General features: G+C 42.6%; 1 protein-coding gene across 6 annotated transcripts in view, besides 1 other annotated feature; it reads left to right on the top strand.

Moving 5' to 3' along the window:
• Nucleotides 1–11,631, top strand: part of KCNIP1 (potassium voltage-gated channel interacting protein 1) — a 383,146-nt gene extending 371,515 nt beyond the window's left edge. For all 6 annotated transcript variants that reach the window (NM_001034838.3, XM_017009407.2, NM_001278340.2 and 3 more), the window contains 3 exons: nt 7,799–7,903; nt 8,835–8,897; nt 10,758–11,631. In NM_001034838.3, coding sequence (NP_001030010.1) covers nt 7,799–7,903; nt 8,835–8,897; nt 10,758–10,805 — 216 coding nt within the window. In that variant the 3' untranslated portion in view covers nt 10,806–11,631. The remainder of the gene's footprint in view (nt 1–7,798; nt 7,904–8,834; nt 8,898–10,757) is intronic.
• Nucleotides 18,753–19,512: an enhancer, noted in NCBI's record as "H3K4me1 hESC enhancer chr5:170170758-170171517 (GRCh37/hg19 assembly coordinates)". NCBI's record gives its function as "activates a minimal SCP1, AML or CMV promoter by ChIP-STARR-seq in primed H9 embryonic stem cells {active_cell/tissue: H9 hESC(primed)}" and the evidence as "EXISTENCE:reporter gene assay evidence [ECO:0000049][PMID:30033119]".

Here is a 20,082-nt window from a genome sequence, read left to right on the forward strand (position 1 = left end):
GAACAAAGTTGAAGGACTAAACCTACCTTACTTCAAGACTTAATGAAAATGTGCAGTAGTCAAGATGGTAGGGAATTGGCATAAGGATAGACATATAGATCAATGGATCAAAATAGAGAGTCAAAAAAACTAAAAGTAGAGCTACCATATGATCCAACAATCCCACTGCTGGCTATATACCCCATGTAAAGGAAACCAGTATATCAAAGAGATATCTGCACTCCCATGTTTTTTGCAGATCTGTTCATAATAGCCAAGATTTGGAAGCAACCTAAGTGTCCATCAACAGATGAATGGATAAAGAAAATCTGGTACTTATACACAATGGAGTACTTCTGCCATAAAATAGAATGAGATTTAATCATCTACAACGTGGATGGAATTGGAGGTCATTACATTAAGTGAAATGAACCAGGCACAGAAAGACAAACATCCCATGTTCTCTCTTATTTGTTGGATCTAAAAATCAAAACAATATGAAGATAGAGGGCAGAAGGACGGTTACCAGAGGCTGGGAAGGATAGTAGGGGGGCTGTGGGGGAAGTTAGGATAGTCAATGGGTACAAAAAAAATAGAATGAATGAATAAGGCCTGGTATTTGGTAGCACAACAAGGTGACTGTAGTCAATAATTTAATTGAACATTTTAACTAAAAGAGTGTAATTGGTTTGTTTGTAACACAAAGGATAAATGCTTGAAGGGATGGATACCCATTTTTCATGATGTGGTTATTACACATTGTATGCCTGTATCAAAACTTGTCATGTACCCCATAAATATATACACCTACTATGTGCCCACAAAAATTAAAAATAAAAAATAAATATTTTTTAAAAATAGAGATAGACCCACCCATATGTCAATGCAACAGATGCCAAAAAGATCAAAGGGGAAAGAACCGTGTTTTCACAGCTGTATATCCATTTGGAAACAAAAATGGACATTAACCTTAACCTCATGCCAAACATAAACATCAACTTGGAATGGATTATAGACTTAAATATTAAAACAAAAGCTGTTTTCTTAAGGAATACATAGGAGAAACATTCTTACAACTTTGGAGTAGGAAAGGATAAGGAATCATTTCTTAAAGTAGATAAATTTGACTTTATCAAAGTTAAAAATTTTGTGCTTTAGAAGACACCTTTAAGAAAATGGAAATGCAAGCCATGGACTTGGAAAAAATGTTTGCAAATTATATACCAGATATATAAAGATACCAGGATACCAAACCAATATAAAGACTGGCATCCAAAATATATAAGGGACATTTATAATTTAATACAAAGATAAACAACTTCATATAAAATAGGCAAAAGATTTGATGAGATATTTAAGAAAAGAAGATATATGAATGGCCAGTAAACCCATGAAAGGTTGCTCTATATCACTGGTCTTCAAAGAAATGCAAATTATAACTATAATGAAATACAATTGCACAGAATGGCCACAATTAAAAAGACTGATAATACCAAGCATTGGCAAAGATGTGGAGCAATAGAAACTCTCATAGATAGCTGGCAGAAATGTAAATGGTACAAACACGTTGGGAAACATTTTGGCATCTTTGATAAAGCTCAGCACACACTTAACATACAACCCAGAAATCCCATTCCAGTCAGGCATGGTGGCTTACGCCTATAATCCCAGTACTTTGGGAGGCTGAGGCAGGCGGATCACTTGAGCTCAGGTGTTCAAGACCAGACTGGGCAACATGGCGAGACACTGTCTCTACTAAAAATACAAAAAAAAAAAAAAAAAAAGCCAGACATGGTGGTAAGCACCTGTGGTCCCAGCTACTAGGGAGGCTGAGGTGGGAGAATTGCTTAACCCTGGGGAGTGGAGGTTGCAGTGAGCTGAGATTGCACCACTGCACTCCAGCCTGGGTGACAGAGCAAGACCCTGTCTCAAAAAAAGAAAAAAAGAAGAAGAAAAGAAGTCCCACTCCTGGATATTTACCCCCAAAAGAAAAATATGTAATTCCATAAAGACTTGTACAAAGATGTTCATAGCAGCTTTATTCATAGTAATCTCAAAACTTAAATGACCCAAATGTCTGTCAACAGGACAATGGGTAAATACATCATAGTCTGTTCATCCAATGGAATATTACTCAGCAGTAAAAAGGAATGTTATAGTTGCATGCAGCAATGTGTATGAAGCTCATAAACCTCATGCTGAGTAAATGAAGCCAGACGCAAATGAGTTTACACTGTTTTACTCCATTTACATGAGATTTTAGAAAATACAAACTAATCTATAGTAACAGAAATTAGATCTGTGGTTGCCTGGTGTCAAAGCTTGAGAGGCACTCACTGCGAAGAAGTGTGAAGGGATGTCTTTTGGTTGTGAAAATGTTCTATATCTTGAGTGTGGTGGAGGTTACATGGGTGGATACATTTGTCAACATTCATCAAACAGTACACTTAAAATGGGTGAATTTGTTATAAGTAAATTATGCTCCAATAAATTTGATTTATTTGTTGAAAAACTTGGTGTAAGGGGGAAGTGCCTAACCAATAGAAGACACTCAAAAAATGTGTTGAAGGAAAAAAATCCTGTGAAATAAAGCAGGTAAGAGAAAATAAGAACTCAATATCATCCAAAATATAGATTACAAATCCTAAATGAGATAATAGGAAATTAATCCCAGTGCTCTGTTTAAAGGCTCATACCTGTAATCCCAACACTTTGGGAGACTGAGGCAGGAGGATGGGTTGAGCCCAGGAGTTCAAGACCAGCCTGGTCAACATAGGGAGAGCCTGTCTCTTCAAAACAAAAATTTAAAAATTACCTGGGTGTAGTGGCACGTGCCTGTGCTCCCAGCTACTCCAGAGGCTGAGGCAGGAGGATAGCTTGAGCCCAGGAGTTCAAGCCTGCCCTGAGCCATAATCACTGCACCACACTCCAGCCTGGGCAACAGAACAAGACCCTTCCTCAAAAAAGCAATAAAATAAAATAAAGAAATGCACATGACTAACATAGGGTTTATTCCAGGAATGCAGGAATAGCCCAGTAGCAGAGAAAGCCTATTAAATAATTTATCACATTAATATATCAAAAGATCAAACCATTTGATGCTAAAATCACATTTGATATAATTTACCATTTATTCATAATAATTTTCAGGATTCAATTAATTAGGAATAAAATACTTCTTCAGCATAATAGAAAATACCCCAGCCTGGTACACAGCTTCATACTTTATGGTAACACGCGGAGATTCTCACTGAAGAAAAGATGAGGCAAGAAAAGATGATGAAGAAAAGATGAGGCAAGAAAAGATGATGTCTGCACACTGTCAGACATCACCACTGTTTAACATTTCCTGAAAGCTCTTCAAACACAGTGAAACAGAAAAGGAAATGCGATCTAAATAGGAAAAATTACAACATTCCTTGTTAATGACATGATTTTCTATCTGAGAAAAAAGACAGCAAGAAAATCAACTTAAAACAACTAGAACTTTTAAAAAGCTGGCAAAGTGACTGGTAATAAAATACATATGCAAAAAGAAATTGTGTAGCCAATATATCAGTTGTGACTAGCTAGAAAATTGTAATACAAATATTCTCATTGTGATCACAATAAAATTTAAAGCACATGGGCATTTTTAAATATCCATAATTTAGATGAAGAGAAAGAAAATTTTGATAAGTAGAGAAACATACCATCTTCTGAAAGGATGTATATTATAAAGATAGCAATATTATAATGACAGCAATTCTTCTCTAATTAAATTTATTTTATTTTGAATCAAAATGGAAGTGTTATTTGGGAAGGAAATTTGGCACAATTGTTATAAAGTTACATTGGAAGATTAATCAGATGAAAATAGCAAAGATAATTTTCAAAAAGAAGAAAAATGGTGGGATTTGTTCTACCAGATACTGAAATATATTATAAAGCTGAAACTATTAAAATATTATAATATCAGAGAAGGAACAGGTAGATCAATGGAACAAAATAGAAATCCCAGGTACAAATACCATCTTGGTTCATAATAAAGGGAGCATATTGAATAGAGAGGTAATGAATCATTAAATGATTCTTGGAAAACTGGTTAACTATTTTGGCAATAAGTAAGTAAATATTCTTACTCGGTACCATAAACACAAAATCACTATAGATATGTACAGTTGCTTTTTAACTAAAAAAGAACTAAAAATCATATGTGAATATCTGATCAAAGAATGGAAAAAGCATAAAATCAAAGTTAGAAACAATTTTTTAAATTATTGATGGCTTTACACTGTAAATATTTTAAAATTCTGCATATCAAAAAATACCATAAACAAAGTTGAAAAGTAAGTGACAAACTTGTTTTTAAAAATCTGCAATTTATGATGACAGAAAGGATTGATATTCCTCAGTAGACATTCATCTTAACAAAGGCAAGAGTCATATTCATCGTGCTTATCTTTGTATTTCTTTGACACAATATCTAGCACATGGTAGATGCGTAAAAATACCTTTAAATAAATTAAAAATCTATTAAGATATTTTAACAATTTAATAAATCTACACGAATATATAAAGAGCTCTCACAATCCAGTCAGAAATAGGTGAACACAATGAGCAAAGCAGATGAAAAAATAGTTCATGGGAAAATAAATAAAAATAGTCAATACATATATTAGAGACCTCACTAAGAAAGTAATGTATATCTTTAAAAACAATGAATTATCACTTATCTATTAAATTGCAAAGGTTTTGTAAAGTCTTTGTTGAAGGTTGGTGGAAAGTGGTTTTTCATACATAGTTGCTGAAAGTGTTCTGATAATAAACTTTCTAAAAGGTATTTGAGGAATATGTATCAAAAGCATTGAAAGTTATGCATCCCATTCTCCTTATAAAACCACACCTTGGTATATGTCCCAAGGAAATAAAGAATAGACACAAAGACTTAAAAGCAAGAAGAGTCTTCAGGTAATAGTGCCCCAGAATGTGATAGCCATGATATCCACTAACAGCAGATTTGTAAAATGAATTACAGTAAATACATATAATGGAATAGCCAGTGGCCACTTAAAATCATGAAAGAGTAATATAAAATAAACATTAGTATGATATATTAAATTTTTAAATATATTACATTTTAAATTGATAAAGTGGTATGTATGATATCTCAATTTTATAAACAACTAAATGCTTATATACACATGCAAATATATGATACTCTAAAATATTCAAATACTACCTTGCAAAACATATAAAGAAAAAAATACAGAAATAGGATTTAGTTGGTCTTCAACTTTGGTTCACTCATTATTCCATCACTGAATAAACTTACTAGTGCCTACTCCCTTTTTGTAATTTGCAAACTAGGCAGAATTCTCCCCATTAATCTATCAGACCTCTCTGGAGGGCAGAGTTAATAAAGTACCCCTTAAAAGAAAAAGAAAGTGTGGATAAGTAGCTTCTCAGAAAAGATAGCAGGATCTTCCCCTGGCAATCATTTGGAGATAACCTCATCCAAGTTGTAGGCTATGAAAATCCTGAGAGAGCAACAAAATTGCTCTTTCTGTGATTAAAAAAAAATATCAGACAGGAAAAGCATCAATGGCCATGTAGATGTGAAGGGCTTGTAAAGCACACATTTAAAAATAAACACATGGATAGAGACATCTATTTCCTCGTTCTATCTGTTGAGGGCACCTCAGAGCAATGACATCCCTGTAGCAGTGAGCATACTAGTACCTAGACTTTGATTTCTAAATACCATTCTTCGATAAACAGAACCAGTCTTCTTGAAGAATAGTTGATTCTAAGATTGGGAAAGAGAAAATACAAGATGAGCCTGGAGTACTTTATTATGCTGAAGGTATAAAAGTGCTTAAAAAAAAAAAACTGCAGGAGTCAACCTGAAGGAGTTCCCAATAGTCAGAATGAAAGCAATTTGAGCAAAATTAAAAATTATTAAGTACTGGATTATAACCTGTAAAATATGGTAAATGCCCACAAGTCCATGCTAATGTAAATAAACAACTGAATACATAAATAAATGCAGGAGAGAAGGTAGCTCTTCCTTACAGAAGAATTGTAATTAATAAGTATAGAAGGAATAAAGGAAATACAAAATTACCATCAGGCAAACACTACAGTAATAATTTTTGCAGGCAAGATCCACTGAAAGATACTAAATCAGTAAGGAAACTTGACAGACACCACCTTAATCAAGTGATCAAGGTTAACATTATCAGTAATAAGACATCTCAACACTATGTAACTCCCTGATATGACGCACTGAGAAGGTTATACCATCACTTCTGTGGTATTCTTGCCAGAAATGCATAACTTCAATCTAATCATAACTAAACCAGGGATTAACTCAAATTGAGAGACATTCTACAAAACAACTGACCTGTACTCATATCAAAAGTGTGAGGTCCTGAAAGACAAGGAAACAAAGAAACTCAGGCTGGGCATGGTGGCTCATGCCTATAATCCCAGCACTTTGGGAGGCAGAGGCAGGAAGATCACTTGAGTCCAAGAGTTTGAGACCAGCCTGGGCAACATGGCAAAACCCCATCTCTACAAAAAATTAGCCAGGTGTGGTGGCACTTGCCTGTAGTCCCAGCTACTTGAGAGGCTGAGGCGGGAGGATCACTTGAACCCGGGAGGTCGAGGCTGCAGTGACGGGGATTGTGCCACTGCACTCCAGCCTGGGTGACAGAGCAAGAACCTGTCTCAAAAAAAAAAAAAAAGAAAAAAGAAAAAAAGAATGAGAAACTCATACAGATTAGAAGAGACTAAGGAGACACAACAAATAAATGCAATGTAGAATCATTGAAGGGAAAAAAATATTAGTTGAAAAGCTGAGATCCCGCCACTGCACTCCAGCCTGGGCCACAGAGCGAGACTCCGTCTCAAAAAAAAAAAAAAAAAAAAAAAAAAAAAAGAAAAGCTGATAAAATTTGAATAAGCCCTGTAGTTTAGTTAATAATAGTGAAGCCATGTTAATTTCCTGGGTTTGGTCATTGTGCTCTGGTTATGCAAGTTGTTAACATTAGAGGAGACTGAGTGAAAGGTATGCATGAACTCTCTGTACTAATTTTGTAAATTTTCTGTAAGTCTAAAATTATTCATAATATGCAAAAATTAAACAAAAAATAAAATAAAATAAGCACATGGAATGAGACTGTCCCCTGGGTCTCTGTAGAAACCAGGTCAAACATCCCAAATGCTCTTTTACCCCCATTCTGAGTTGGGCCAGAATGGTCAGAATAATGGTTCCCAATGTACCTTGATAAACACGGAAACTCTCAGGACCGAGTCCTAAGGTTCTCTGATTCAATAGGTTTGGAGTGGACTTGAGAACTGATCTTTTTAATAAGGGCCTCAGTCTGTGGAACTATTGGCCTCATGTGCCCTGTGGATAATCTTGGCTGTTGGTTCATTTTTCTTAACTGAAAACAGTGGCAGAAACTATGGGGATTTTTAAATCTCTAGGCTAGAACATTAACTTTTTAAAAATTCAGAATAGTATTTTATTTGCCTCAAGCCTGTGAATGGGGATCCCACAAATCACCCCCCACTGAAGACAATGCCCATAACAAGGTAACCTACCCATGAGCTTCTGAGGGATTTAGGAATTGTCTACCATCTCCTCTCTAAGAAGGGCTCCCACAATATATCCCCTTCTGCTTGCTTCTAACTCCCTATCACCTGCTAAAGAAGGACCTCACCTTTTAATCACTTTCATTGCCAAGGGGCACAAGGAGCCCCAAACTCTGTCACCTAGGAAGAGCTTGACCTCATGGTTTCCACACTGTGTGCTTTTATGTCCCTGCTCCAGGAGATGATGGACATTGTCAAAGCCATCTATGACATGATGGGGAAATACACATATCCTGTGCTCAAAGAGGACACTCCAAGGCAGCATGTGGACGTCTTCTTCCAGGTAAGTGCACACACCCTGCACATGAGCTGTAAGCCCAGCCTAGATCAAGTCAACCCACGAGCATCTGAGCAAATGATTTGTGTCCAACCCTGTACTAAGCATGGTTGGTAACAGAAAAGAATTATAAGATACATTGTCCTCAAGAAACAGATGATCTCCTTAAGCTGCAAGTGTACATGACAGAAGAGAACAAGAAAGTATATTATTAAACGCTAGTGGTATAGTATGAACTCTAAATCCATAAAAATTTGGGGATCAGGGTAAACACGAAAGACTTCATTAATTACAACTGTGGAGGTGTTAAGCATTTGTGTCTGGGAAGTAAGGGGAAATAAGATTGGAAACTAGGATAGGGCCAGATTATGAGACCTTTAAATGGAAGAGTTTGGCCTTGCTCTGGTACAGGATGGGCAGCTAGTGCTGATCCTTGACTAAGGGAGTGGTATAATCATTGGGGCATTTTAGGAAAAAATTAATCTAGCGGTGGAGTATCAGAGAATATCAAGAGTTCACTCTAGTTCAACCTCCCACTTTGCAGATGGGAAAAGAGAGTCCTCTCTGGCCTTGTGCAAGTTTGTACAGCAAGTAACAGGCCAGAATCAGAACCTCTTTTGCCCAGTGTTCTGCCAGATGGACAGGGTAGCAGGGAGTCTACAGAAGAAGCAGAATAAGCCAGCAGTGAGGTGATGAGTGTCCAGAGCAAGTCTTTTGATTTAAGGAAGCTCATGGGGCTCAAAGTGTTGTAATCAGGACCTAATTGGAGTTGTCTGGCCAGTGAAAGACAACTCTCATTCTCAGGGCAAAGTTGGTTAATGAAATGAATGAAATGAGCTCCAGCTCGTTACTCTGAGCTCCAGCAAGAAAGCAGGGGAGTAAGCTTTGGAATGGAGATCACCAGATTCTGTAAAGTGCTTTCTGTTATGTCTTTCAGAAAATGGACAAAAATAAAGATGGCATCGTAACTTTAGATGAATTTCTTGAATCATGTCAGGAGGTAAGGAGAGATCTCAGGGCACAATAACTCTACATCTGGGAAAGGAAACCTGGGGCCTGGGGACCTGCAGAAGGAAGGTGATGAGAAACCTGCACATACCTGCAACCCCTCCCATCAGAGCCAACAACACCAGCAACAACTGTGAAGTCCACAGTTCCACTCCTCAACCTGACCTGCAGTTGGTCTTGGCTAAGCACAAGACTGAACAGAGAGCCTAAGTAGGGGTCTGGGGGCATGTGAAAACTCAGAGGGGGTCTCTGTGAAAATAGACTTCCCGAGAGGGCAACACCATTATTTTTTAGCCTGCCTCTGGCTTGATGACCCATTTCCCAGACTACAAGGAAGCAGCTGGGGGGAAAAAAACCTACAATTGTGTGATTCTCAAACCACAGTGTGCATAAAAATTGCCTGGAATGATTCTGAAAATGCATATTTCCAGGCCTCAATCCCAGAGACTCTAGATCTGGGTCACTTTAACACAAATGTCCTGGACCAATGCTTCTAACACTTTAATGTGTGAAACAATATCCTTGATGATTTTGTTAAAATGCAGATTCTAATTCCATAGGTCTGGGGTAGGGCCTGAGATGTTACTTTTCTCACATTCTCCCCAGTCACACTGGTGATGCTGATCCTGGGAACACAACTTTCATTAAGTCTAACCAATAGACCAGCCCCAGAGTCCACCAGAGACTGAACTGGAAATAATTGCTTCATCTACTTTTGAGAAATCCATTTGTACCCCCACATTATTTTAGAAATGTTCAGAGTTACTCTGAGCTCCAGCCAAGAAGAATAGCAAATGTAAGAAAGCCGGGGAGAAGTTCCTAGCAGATACTGAGCCCCCATCAAGTTTCAAGCACATACATAAACATCACAGCCACCCTGTTATGTAGATGTCCTATGTGCAGGGTGATATCCAAGATATTTAACAACTAGAATGGAATGAACACTGACCCCCTTGGGGGTGAGTTCTCACTGTTAATTCCCTTGAGAGCTGGTTGTAAAACAGCCTGGCACCTTCCCCACCTCCAACCTTGATTCCTCTCCCACCATGGGATCTCTGCACACCCAGCTTCCCTTCACATTCCACTGTGAGTGGAAGCAGCCTGAAACCCTCACCAGATGCAGATGCCCAGCTGAACTTTCCAGCTGCCAGAATAATGAGCCAAATAAGCCTATACTGACATTAACCTTTTCATTTCTGATATTGATAATTTGAAAAGCAGTCTTAATAAGCATTTATCTACTTTATTGATTTTTTTGAAAGAGAGCGCTTTGGGGGGTTTTCTTACTGTATGTCTCTATTGCATGTTCTGTATTTTACATTTTTCTATTATTTCTTCTCTGAGGTATAGTATTGAATGTAGAAAAATCCTCAAATGTTCGGTATTAAGCAATACACTTCTAATTCATGGTTCAGAGAAGAAAATATCTCGAATAAAAATAAAATAAAAATATGACTTATCAAAATTTGTAGGATCTAAAGCAGTATTCCAGGAATGCAAGGTTGGTTTAACATTCAATAATTGGTCAGTGTAATTAATCACATTAATAGAATAAAAAGAGAAAAAATATAATCATTTCAGTGGATGTAATTGTTCAGAGCTTCTTAAAAGAAGCAACTCACTATTTTACTAGATGATTTGTTTCTTCTGAATTCCTCTTTAAGGCTACAGGTGGTGCTTCTTACTTTGAACTGATCACTTTCTAGGTCCCCACCCTTACTTCTTGTTTTTCATACCCTTGTAGAGTTTTCTCCATATAGGAAACCCATGCTTGACATTTGCTCACCAGAGTTACAGAGCTCTCAGGGAGGAGACTCAGAGTTCTAACCCTCTTGCCCTCCTTTTTTCCCAGGACGACAACATCATGAGGTCTCTCCAGCTGTTTCAAAATGTCATGTAACTGGTGACACTCAGCCATTCAGCTCTCAGAGACATTGTACTAAACAACCACCTTAACACCCTGATCTGCCCTTGTTCTGATTTTACACACCAACTCTTGGGACAGAAACACCTTTTACACTTTGGAAGAATTCTCTGCTGAAGACTTTCTATGGAACCCAGCATCATGTGGCTCAGTCTCTGATTGCCAACTCTTCCTCTTTCTTCTTCTTGAGAGAGACAAGATGAAATTTGAGTTTGTTTTGGAAGCATGCTCATCTCCTCACACTGCTGCCCTATGGAAGGTCCCTCTGCTTAAGCTTAAACAGTAGTGCACAAAATATGCTGCTTACGTGCCCCCAGCCCACTGCCTCCAAGTCAGGCAGACCTTGGTGAATCTGGAAGCAAGAGGACCTGAGCCAGATGCACACCATCTCTGATGGCCTCCCAAACCAATGTGCCTGTTTCTCTTCCTTTGGTGGGAAGAATGAGAGTTATCCAGAACAATTAGGATCTGTCATGACCAGATTGGGAGAGCCAGCACCTAACATATGTGGGATAGGACTGAATTATTAAGCATGATATTGTCTGATGACCCAAACTGCCCATGTCATTTGTTTCCAGAAACGAGGACCAATAATTCTCTCACACTGGCATTTGTGCTGGTAGTACAAGTCCTTTAATATGTCCAGGAAGGGAGCCATTGCCCAGTGGTCCATATCTCCACCACATCCCCTGCTTGAGCCCAGCGCTGCATGTCCCTCCCAAGAAGTCCAGAATGCCTGCAAATTGCTGTAATTTTATACCATGTTCTAACCAATAAACAGAACTATTTCTTACACTCTCAATCACTTCTTCATGACTCCGTTAGGTAAGAGAGGTAAGCTGTGAAAAGGGAAGGCTAGTCCATTCATTTGACACCCAATTATTAGTGCAGTTGTCCCTCCATATGTGTGAAGGATCAGTCCCAGGACTCTCCATACCAAAATCTGCAGATACTCAAGTCCCACAGCTAGCCCTGAGGGACTCGTGTTTTCAGAAAATTTGGCCTCCATATATGCAGGTTTCACATCCTATAAATACTGCATTTTCTATCACTTTTGGTTGAAAACAATCTGCATGTAAGTGGACCCAATAAGTTTAAACTCATGTTGTTGGAGGGTCAACTGTACTTACGTTGTGCCAGGCCTGTGCCAGGCAATGACTTCATCCTCCCCAGCCCCCAAGCCTTCCCCAGCAAACATCCAATCCAAATGCAAATACTGTGACCAAATGCAAATGCAACTTCGAGACAAGACCCTTCACAACACTTTGCTTCCAACAAGATTGCCACTTCTAAGACCCTCTGATATGGAAAGCCTGGAGCCCCTGTGGTGTGAGTGGGAGTGCAGAGATAAAGAGGATGACGGGGCCTCCTGCTGAGAGATTTTAGGCTCTAGAGGACCATCAAGCGGCTTCAGCCTATAACCAGCAAATGATTACTCATGTTGAACACTGTGGGTCTTAGTTTCCCCATTTGACATCACATTTGAAAGACTAAAAGCTAACAGTAGCATTCTTGGAAGGAAAACAATTTACTGAAACCCTATTTTGTGCCAGGTGCTGCACTAGGGGCTTTATATACATTATCTTATTTCATGCTCATGTGGAGCATTCCAGATGGTAGAGTCCTGGTTGTACTGATGAGGTTGCTGAAGCTCAGAGAGGTAAGGGGGACCTGCGTAAGGTAGCACAGCTGATAGGGACTCCATAGGGAGGCTAAACTCTTCTCGCTCTATCATAGACCCTTCCTACAAGGGGATTTTGCCTCACCCCAAGGATGAGGATACTTCCCACTAATCTCATTCATCTGAAGTCAGTTCAGAGAGGCATTGGTGTTCTTTGAGTCTGTGTAACAGATGGAGAAACAGATGCAGAGAAGGGGAATATCTCAGGCAGCCACAGTCACCGGCAGGGGGAGGCCACAAAAACATCTCCTGCATTCATGACACATCCCACTCAGATGGCCATTGGCTGCTGCCTCTTATGGTTGGAAATTGTAAGTGTGATGATGAGAATTTGTTGGATAGTTCAGACCTGTTCCTCTGGGCTTCCTGCATGTAGCCATGTGGTTCCCTAAGGCTTCTGGGCATGTGGCTGGTCCCCAGCAAAGCATCTACTTAGGCCCAAGAGAGGATCTGTCCTAGAGACTCTTCCCATATGGGGTCCTAACCTGCATCTTGAGGCTTTATGATGTCTAGGCCAGTGTTCCCTGCCCTGGCTGCACATCAGAATCACCTGGGAACTTTGAAAAATGTGAACATCTGGATGCCACAGCAGACCAACTGAAGGAACATCCCTGAAGGTGGGACCTGGGCCTCAGAATTCTTTAGAGGCCACCCAGGTGGGTGTACTGGGCACACAGGGCTAAGGTGGAGAACTGACACATCTAGAGCTGCGAATGAAGCGCGTGGTCTGAGCCATCCCCCTGGCCACAAGGATCAATTCAGGGATAGGCTTGAGACCCACGCTGGTTCAAACAGCATGAATCTCCAAACTAGTGCTGGGAATGATGAGACAAAGATGTTCTCCCTCACCAGACATGAATGAGAGCGCACATAGCCCTAAGACATGCCAGTAACTATTTAGGAATTCTGAGAGTTTATCTAATAATCAGAGGGTTAATAAGCCAGAGATCACATAAGGCAAGGCAGAGAGATGAAAAAAAAAAAAAAGCAAGCAGAAACGAGCCTTTGATAATATCATTGATCTGCTAGATCAAGCTGCTTCTGAAGCTGGACATACCTCTGACCTTTTCAGGTGCCTGTGTCAGGTGCCTATATAAGGTCTAGGTCAGGCCGGGCACGGTGGCTCATGCCTGTAATTCCAAATTTTTGGGAGGCCGAGGCTGGCGGATCACCTGAAGTCGGGAGTCCGAGACCAGCCTGACCAATGTGGAGAAACCCCATCTCTACTAAAAAATACAAAAATTAGCCAGGCGTGGTGGCGAGTGCCTGTAATCCCAGCTACTCGGGAGGCTGAGGCAGGAGAATCGCTTGAACCCGGGAGGTGGAGGTTGCGGTGACCCAAGATCACACCATTGCACTCCAGCCCGGGCAACAAGAGCAAAACTCTGTCTCAAAAAAAAAAAAAAAAAAAAAAATCTAGGTCAGTGGCTGCCTTCCTTCCCCGCTGGCTGCATGTCAGAATCACCTGGGGAGCAGAGGAGGGGAATGTTTTTGAAGTGCCAAATGCCTGGGCCTTATCCCAAATGAATTGCATCAGAATATCTGGAGGTGAGGCCCTGAGGATCAGTATGCTGTAAAGGCTCACCAGGTGATTCCAATGCACACCTATGGCTGCAAACCCCTGCTCTAGAGCAGAGGAAGTACTGGTACCCCTCTCCCTGTGTTAGCCAGACCACAAGTAAGACACCAGCATCAGCCCTGGGCACTTAAAACTGAGAGGAAAATCAGCAGCTTAGATATTCAGAGAGAATTCATTGTGGATGGAAGTTTTAAAAGTAGTCCTCAGATGGATAAACAACAGAAAGGGAGATGGTTGTCCTAATGAAGAGCAGGGAAAGGACACGTTGCAGCAATGAGAGCGTATTGGCCTCATCTCCCACTTGTCTTCTTGGAGGGATCCTGCTCCTCTTGAACCATCCAACAAATTCTCACCATCACGCCTGCTGATGGGGACTCAACTGTGCAGCAGGTGCTATGGACACTTTGCCCAATCCCCTTGGTACTCACCATCACCCTGCAGGTAGACTCAACTGCTGCCAAGTGCAATCACCCGAGAGTTTTTGTCTGTGACTCTAACCATCACAGAGTGTGTCCATGACAGCCCGCTATGTTTTGGGTATTTGAGTCTCTAAGCCTCATGTTGACATTTATGTCCAATGTTGAAAGGGGGCCTAAGATAAGGTGTTTGGGTCATGGGGGCAGGTCCCTCAGGACTAGATGAAGGCCCTCTCTTGGGGCTGAGTGAGTTCTTACTCTGTTAATTCCTTCAAGAGTGGTTGTTAAAGAGCCTGGCATCACCACCACCCCTCCGCCCCACTCCTCACTTCCTCTCTCACCGTGTGATCTGCGCACACCCAGCTCCCCTTCACCTTCCACTATGAGTGGAAGCAGCCTGAAGCCCTCACCAAATGCAGATGCCCAATCAAACTTTCCAGCCACCAGAAACGTGAGCCAAATTAGGCTTTTTTTCTTTATAAATTACCCAGCCTTGGGTATTCCTTATAGCTACACAAATGGACTAAGACACAGGGCCATTCTGCCATGGACATATCAGTCCAAAGGATCAGGTCATCAACACCTCCTAGAAGAAGCCCTTGGCCAATGACCGATGGGACTTGGTGGACAAATATCCCAGATCCTTCTCCTCTCAGCAGGAAGAACTCTGAGGTCTCTTCTATATCATCTCCTAGACTTCCCTGGTAGGACTGAGCCCCAGTTGCTCACAACAGTAACTTATGATGAATAAGACAGACATGTGTCCTGCTTTCATAAACTTCATATTCTAGCAGGAGGAAACTGATGACAAATGAAATTATTTTAGATGAAATGGCATGCATAAATGTGTGGCATGCTAAAGAGTATACAGGGTGGCTGCGGGTGGAGAGTAAGTCTTCTCTGAAGAGCAGACCACTGAGCTTGACATGATTTGGATCATGGGGTTCTCCATGGACAACATCTTTTTTGAGTCTCATGACAACCCTGCGGGGCAGGTATCCTAGGCACCTATTTTTCAGATGAAAAAATGATGCCCAGAGTCATAGAAGGAATTACATACACAGCAGGAAGTGGGCTTAAAAGTCTGCCAAGCTCCAAAATCCATGCCCAGCTTTATTTCTTACAGAGCATAAAGACCATTCTCCACCTATTCCTAAAACTAGCTCTGATGATATACAAACACCAGAAGGTGTCAGGAAGCAGATGCTATGAAAACTATTAGTAAAAAGCAATGAAAACAAACCCACAAATCTGAGCCAAATTATTCCTCCTGTAAAAGGAATCATGCCAAGGACTTGTGCAAAGATGGCCATATGGGTTTCTTAGAGGAGCTGAAATAAGCATGTCCTTCCACATCAAAATAAGGCTCAACCTAACTGGCAGACTTCAGCTAGCCCTGCAGTCTGCTCCATTGCCTTACTGGGGACCAACAAAGCTCAGAACTTGAAGACTGGGGGGAGCCCGAGAGGCAGCCAGCCCCACCGGGTAGGATCCTGAAGACCCATGATATGCTACAGGTCCCAGTTCTAGAATAAAACATAGGGACCAAGACTAAGCCAATCATTACCTCCCATGCCTCTGGCCACAGTGAAATTTTAGGAATAGGCTTAAAACCTAAACTCACGCAAATAGCATGGAATGTTAGGGCTTTTACTGAGAACAATGAAAGTTGCTCATTGTCCTGCCTGACATGAATGAAAAACACAGAGCCCTGGGACCTATAGGCCACCATTCTGTAATCTGCAGGGAAGCCAAGCTAGAAATGTAGGTAAAGAGACCACAGTGATTCAAGGCAGAGGGATGAAAGAATGGGTTGCTGATGTCATTGAACTGCAGATCAAGCTTCATATGAAGTTACATTTACTTCTAGTGTTCATTGCACGTATCCATAAATATCAAGAAATTTGCTTTTCTTTTTTTTTTTTTTTTTTTCTTGAGACAGAGTCTCGTTCTATTGCCCAGGCTGGAGTGCAGTGGTGCGATCTTGGCTCACTGCAACCTCCGCCTCCCAGGTTCAAGCAATTCTCCTGCCTCAGCCCCCCAAGTAGCTAGGATTACAGGTGCATGCCACCACACCCAGCTAATTTTTGTATTTTTAGTACAGACAGGATTTCGCCATGTTGGCCAGGCTGGCCTCGAACTCCTGACCTCAGGTGATCTGACTGCCTCGGCCTCCCAGAGTGTTAGGATTACAGGCGTGAGCCACCACTCCAGGCCGAAATTCACTTTTTAAAGGCAATTCTAGTTGAACTTTCTGTAACTTGCAACCTGACACTTTCCATTAATAAGCCCCGTCGTCTAACCCTCTAGTGTTTCTTCTGGCCACTTTATTCCCCGCCATGCTTCTCCAGCTACATCTCATCACTCTCTACTCCCAGCAGGAAGCCTGCCAACTCCAGTCTACCCCTTCTGCCCTCATCCCAAAGCCCAGTCGGGACCCCTTATCCAGACTAGTGCAGGCGAGAAACAGAGGTCTGCAATCCTGTGTCACTCTTCCCTCCAGTGTGAACTATATTCAGCTGGTGTCCATGAGAACGCCTAAAGGGGGACAAGGATTTTAAGGCAGGGGTTTGAGAACGAAGAGTATGCAGTCCACCCCAACCCGCTCCCTGCTCTACCTGAGGGTCAAAGCCCCTCACTGTTCACAATGACACAGACTAGGCAAGTGCTGGGGGAGAGCCGGGGAAAGACAGACAAATGTGGATTCTAAGCAGAAGAGCAAGAGAGAACACTAAACTTGCTGTGGTCAAGAAAGAAAGTAAAAGGAGGAAAGAAGGAAGCGGGGAGGTGAAAGGGGGGCAGAGGAGGAATGAATAAAGGGGATAAAGTCCTTATGTAGTAAATGCTAGCCCACCGTAATAGCGAATTTTATGTGTTAACTTGGCAAGGCCATGGTAACCAGTTTTTGGTCAAACATCAGTCTGTTTGGCATTGCTGTGGAGGTATTTTTCAGCTGAGACTAACATTTAAATCAGTAGACTTTGAGTACAGCAAGCTATCCTCCATAATGTGGGTGGGCCTCATCCAATCAGTTGAAGGCCTCAACTGAGAGAACATAAGTCCCCCAAGGAAGAGAGAACACTGCCTCCAGACCGCCACGCGATTCGGGACGGCAACATCAACTCTTCCCTGGGTCTCGATTTTAGACTTGCCAGTCCCCACAATCACATAAACCCATTCCTTAAAATAAATCAGTCTGGCCGGGCACGGTGGCTCACACCTGTAATCCCAGCACTTTGGGAGGCCAAGGCGGGCGGATCACGAGGTCAGGAGATCAAGACCATCCTGGCTAACACGGTGAAACCCCGTCTCTACTAAAAATGCAAAAAAAAAATAGCTGGGCGTGGTGGCGGGCGCCTGTAGTCCCAGCTACTCAGGAGGCTGAGGCAGGAGAATGGCGTGAACCTGGGAGGTGGAGCTTGCAGTGAGCCGAGATCACGCCACCGCACTCCAGCCTGGGTGACAGAGCGAGGCTCCGTCTCAAAAAAATAAAAATAAATAAATGATTCTGGGGATGTGTCTGTCTGTCCATCTGTCTCTCTCCACACACACACACACACACACACACACACACACACACACACACACATCCTGTTAGTTCTGTTTACCTGGAGAACCTTGACTAACATACCCATTAAAACCAAAATATGTCCTTCAGGGTGTTAATGTTTGGTTGAAGAAACACAGAAGTTTAACAATTGTATCAGGCTGGGCACGGCCTATAATCCCAGCATTTTGGGAGGCCACAATGAGAGGATCACTTGAGCCCAGGAGTTCTAGACCAGCCTATGCAACATAGTGAGACAAAAAAATGAAGAAAATTAGGGGTGTGGTGGAGCGCACCTGTAGTCCTAGCTACTCGGGAGGCTGAGGCAGAAGGATCGCTTGAGCCCAGGAGTTCAAGGCTGTCGTGAGCCATGATCTCACCACTGCATTCCAGGCTGGGTGACAGAGTGAGACTCTGTCTCAAAAAAAAAACAAATCTGTACCAAAATTAGATGATTCTAGATAACCAAGAAGGAACTGTGCGAGGGCACTCTGATGGGTGGTCAGAGCAGGGTGGAGAGAGGGACAGCATTTCTGGAGCAACTTCTACTGTCAGCACCGAAGAACAGCACCTAATTTACTAACACAACCACCCTCTGATATACAAATAGAAATAAACTCCCCTTTTTCCAGACAGGGAGAGCTCAATAAGGTAAAACCACCAGCCCGAGGTCGCACTGCCAGTAATTAATGGGTTCAGAACTTAATAATGATAATGATAATGACCATAGCAACGTTTATTCGGTGCTCATAATGAGCCAGACACCACTCTGAATGCCTAATATAAATTATCTAATTTAATTCTCACCAAGAAAAAAAATCCTATTTCATTTGATGTCCCACTTTATCCACAAGGAAACCGACTCAGAAGTGATGGAGACAGGTTTCAGGTCAGCTGGTCCAATCCCAAAGCCCATTCTACACGCGCCCCTACTCTGGCTACCTCCCACTCCAACAGAGGCGTTTTGTCTCCGACACCTCCCCCCTGCTGTTCACACAAAGGGAGGACAACCCTGGGGGTTCTGGTAATCCTGGAAGGCTTCCTGTCAGAGGTGGGCCGGGGGAAACGCGGGCAGGAGAAGGGAAGTCTCGCTCAGGGGAGTGGTGTGCATGGGGCAGAGGCTGCCAGGGACGCTGAAGGCTGATAGCCGGGTTGGCGCGGAAATGGGACGCCGCAGGGTGGGACAGGCGGGAGGGATGGGATGGGCAGGGTGTGATGCCGGACGAAGGAAACGGGCCTGCCCGGCAGGTGGCAGAGAGCCACAGAAGAGCTCCGAGGGGGTGGTGCGTGAGATGGCGCTGCAGGCTGGAAAGGGGCTGCAGGCAGGGTGCCTCCAGAGACCGCAAGAGAACAGCTTGCGAGGGACCGTGGGAACTTCAAGGAACCGCACCGCCCTCCTGGACCACCCGAGAAAACAGGGGAAGTGGGCGAATGAGTAGACCAAAGTACTCATGACAGGGCAGGAGCAAGTGAGAGACCCTGGAGGACCATGGAGAGAACGTGGTAACCGATGGAGAGGGATGAAAACCGAGCCGCGGGTGTGAGTCTGAGGCGCCCCCAGGCCCACCAGCGTGTGAGCGGCAGGTGCTGTTCGCCATCAGCCGCTAGATGGAGCCGGCGCCTCGCCGAATGCGCCGGGATCCGTCGCGTGGATGTCAGGTCCGGGCCAGGGAGCCAAAGCGGCGGCTCCGCGGGGACCCTCCACAGTTCCGGACTCCAGCCCAGCGCCGGCTTCAGGGCGTGCGACCCTGAGCTTGGTTTAACGCTCCGCCACCGCGGCCTTGAAATTCACAATTTGTGAACAAGGGGACCCACTTTTTCATTTTTATTTTTGATTTACATTTTATTTTATATGTTATGCTATGTTGTTATGTATTTTTGAACGGGTCTCGCTCTGTCGCCCAGGCTGGAGTACAGTGGCGCGGTCATAGCTCATTGCAGCCTCCACCTCCCAGGCTCAAGCCATCCTCCCACCTCAGCCTCTTGCAAAGCTGGGACTACAGGCGCGCCAGCACGCTTGGCTAATTTTT

Source organism: Homo sapiens, chromosome 5 (genome assembly GCF_000001405.40).
Source record: "Homo sapiens chromosome 5, GRCh38.p14 Primary Assembly".
Lineage (NCBI taxonomy): Eukaryota > Metazoa > Chordata > Mammalia > Primates > Hominidae > Homo > Homo sapiens.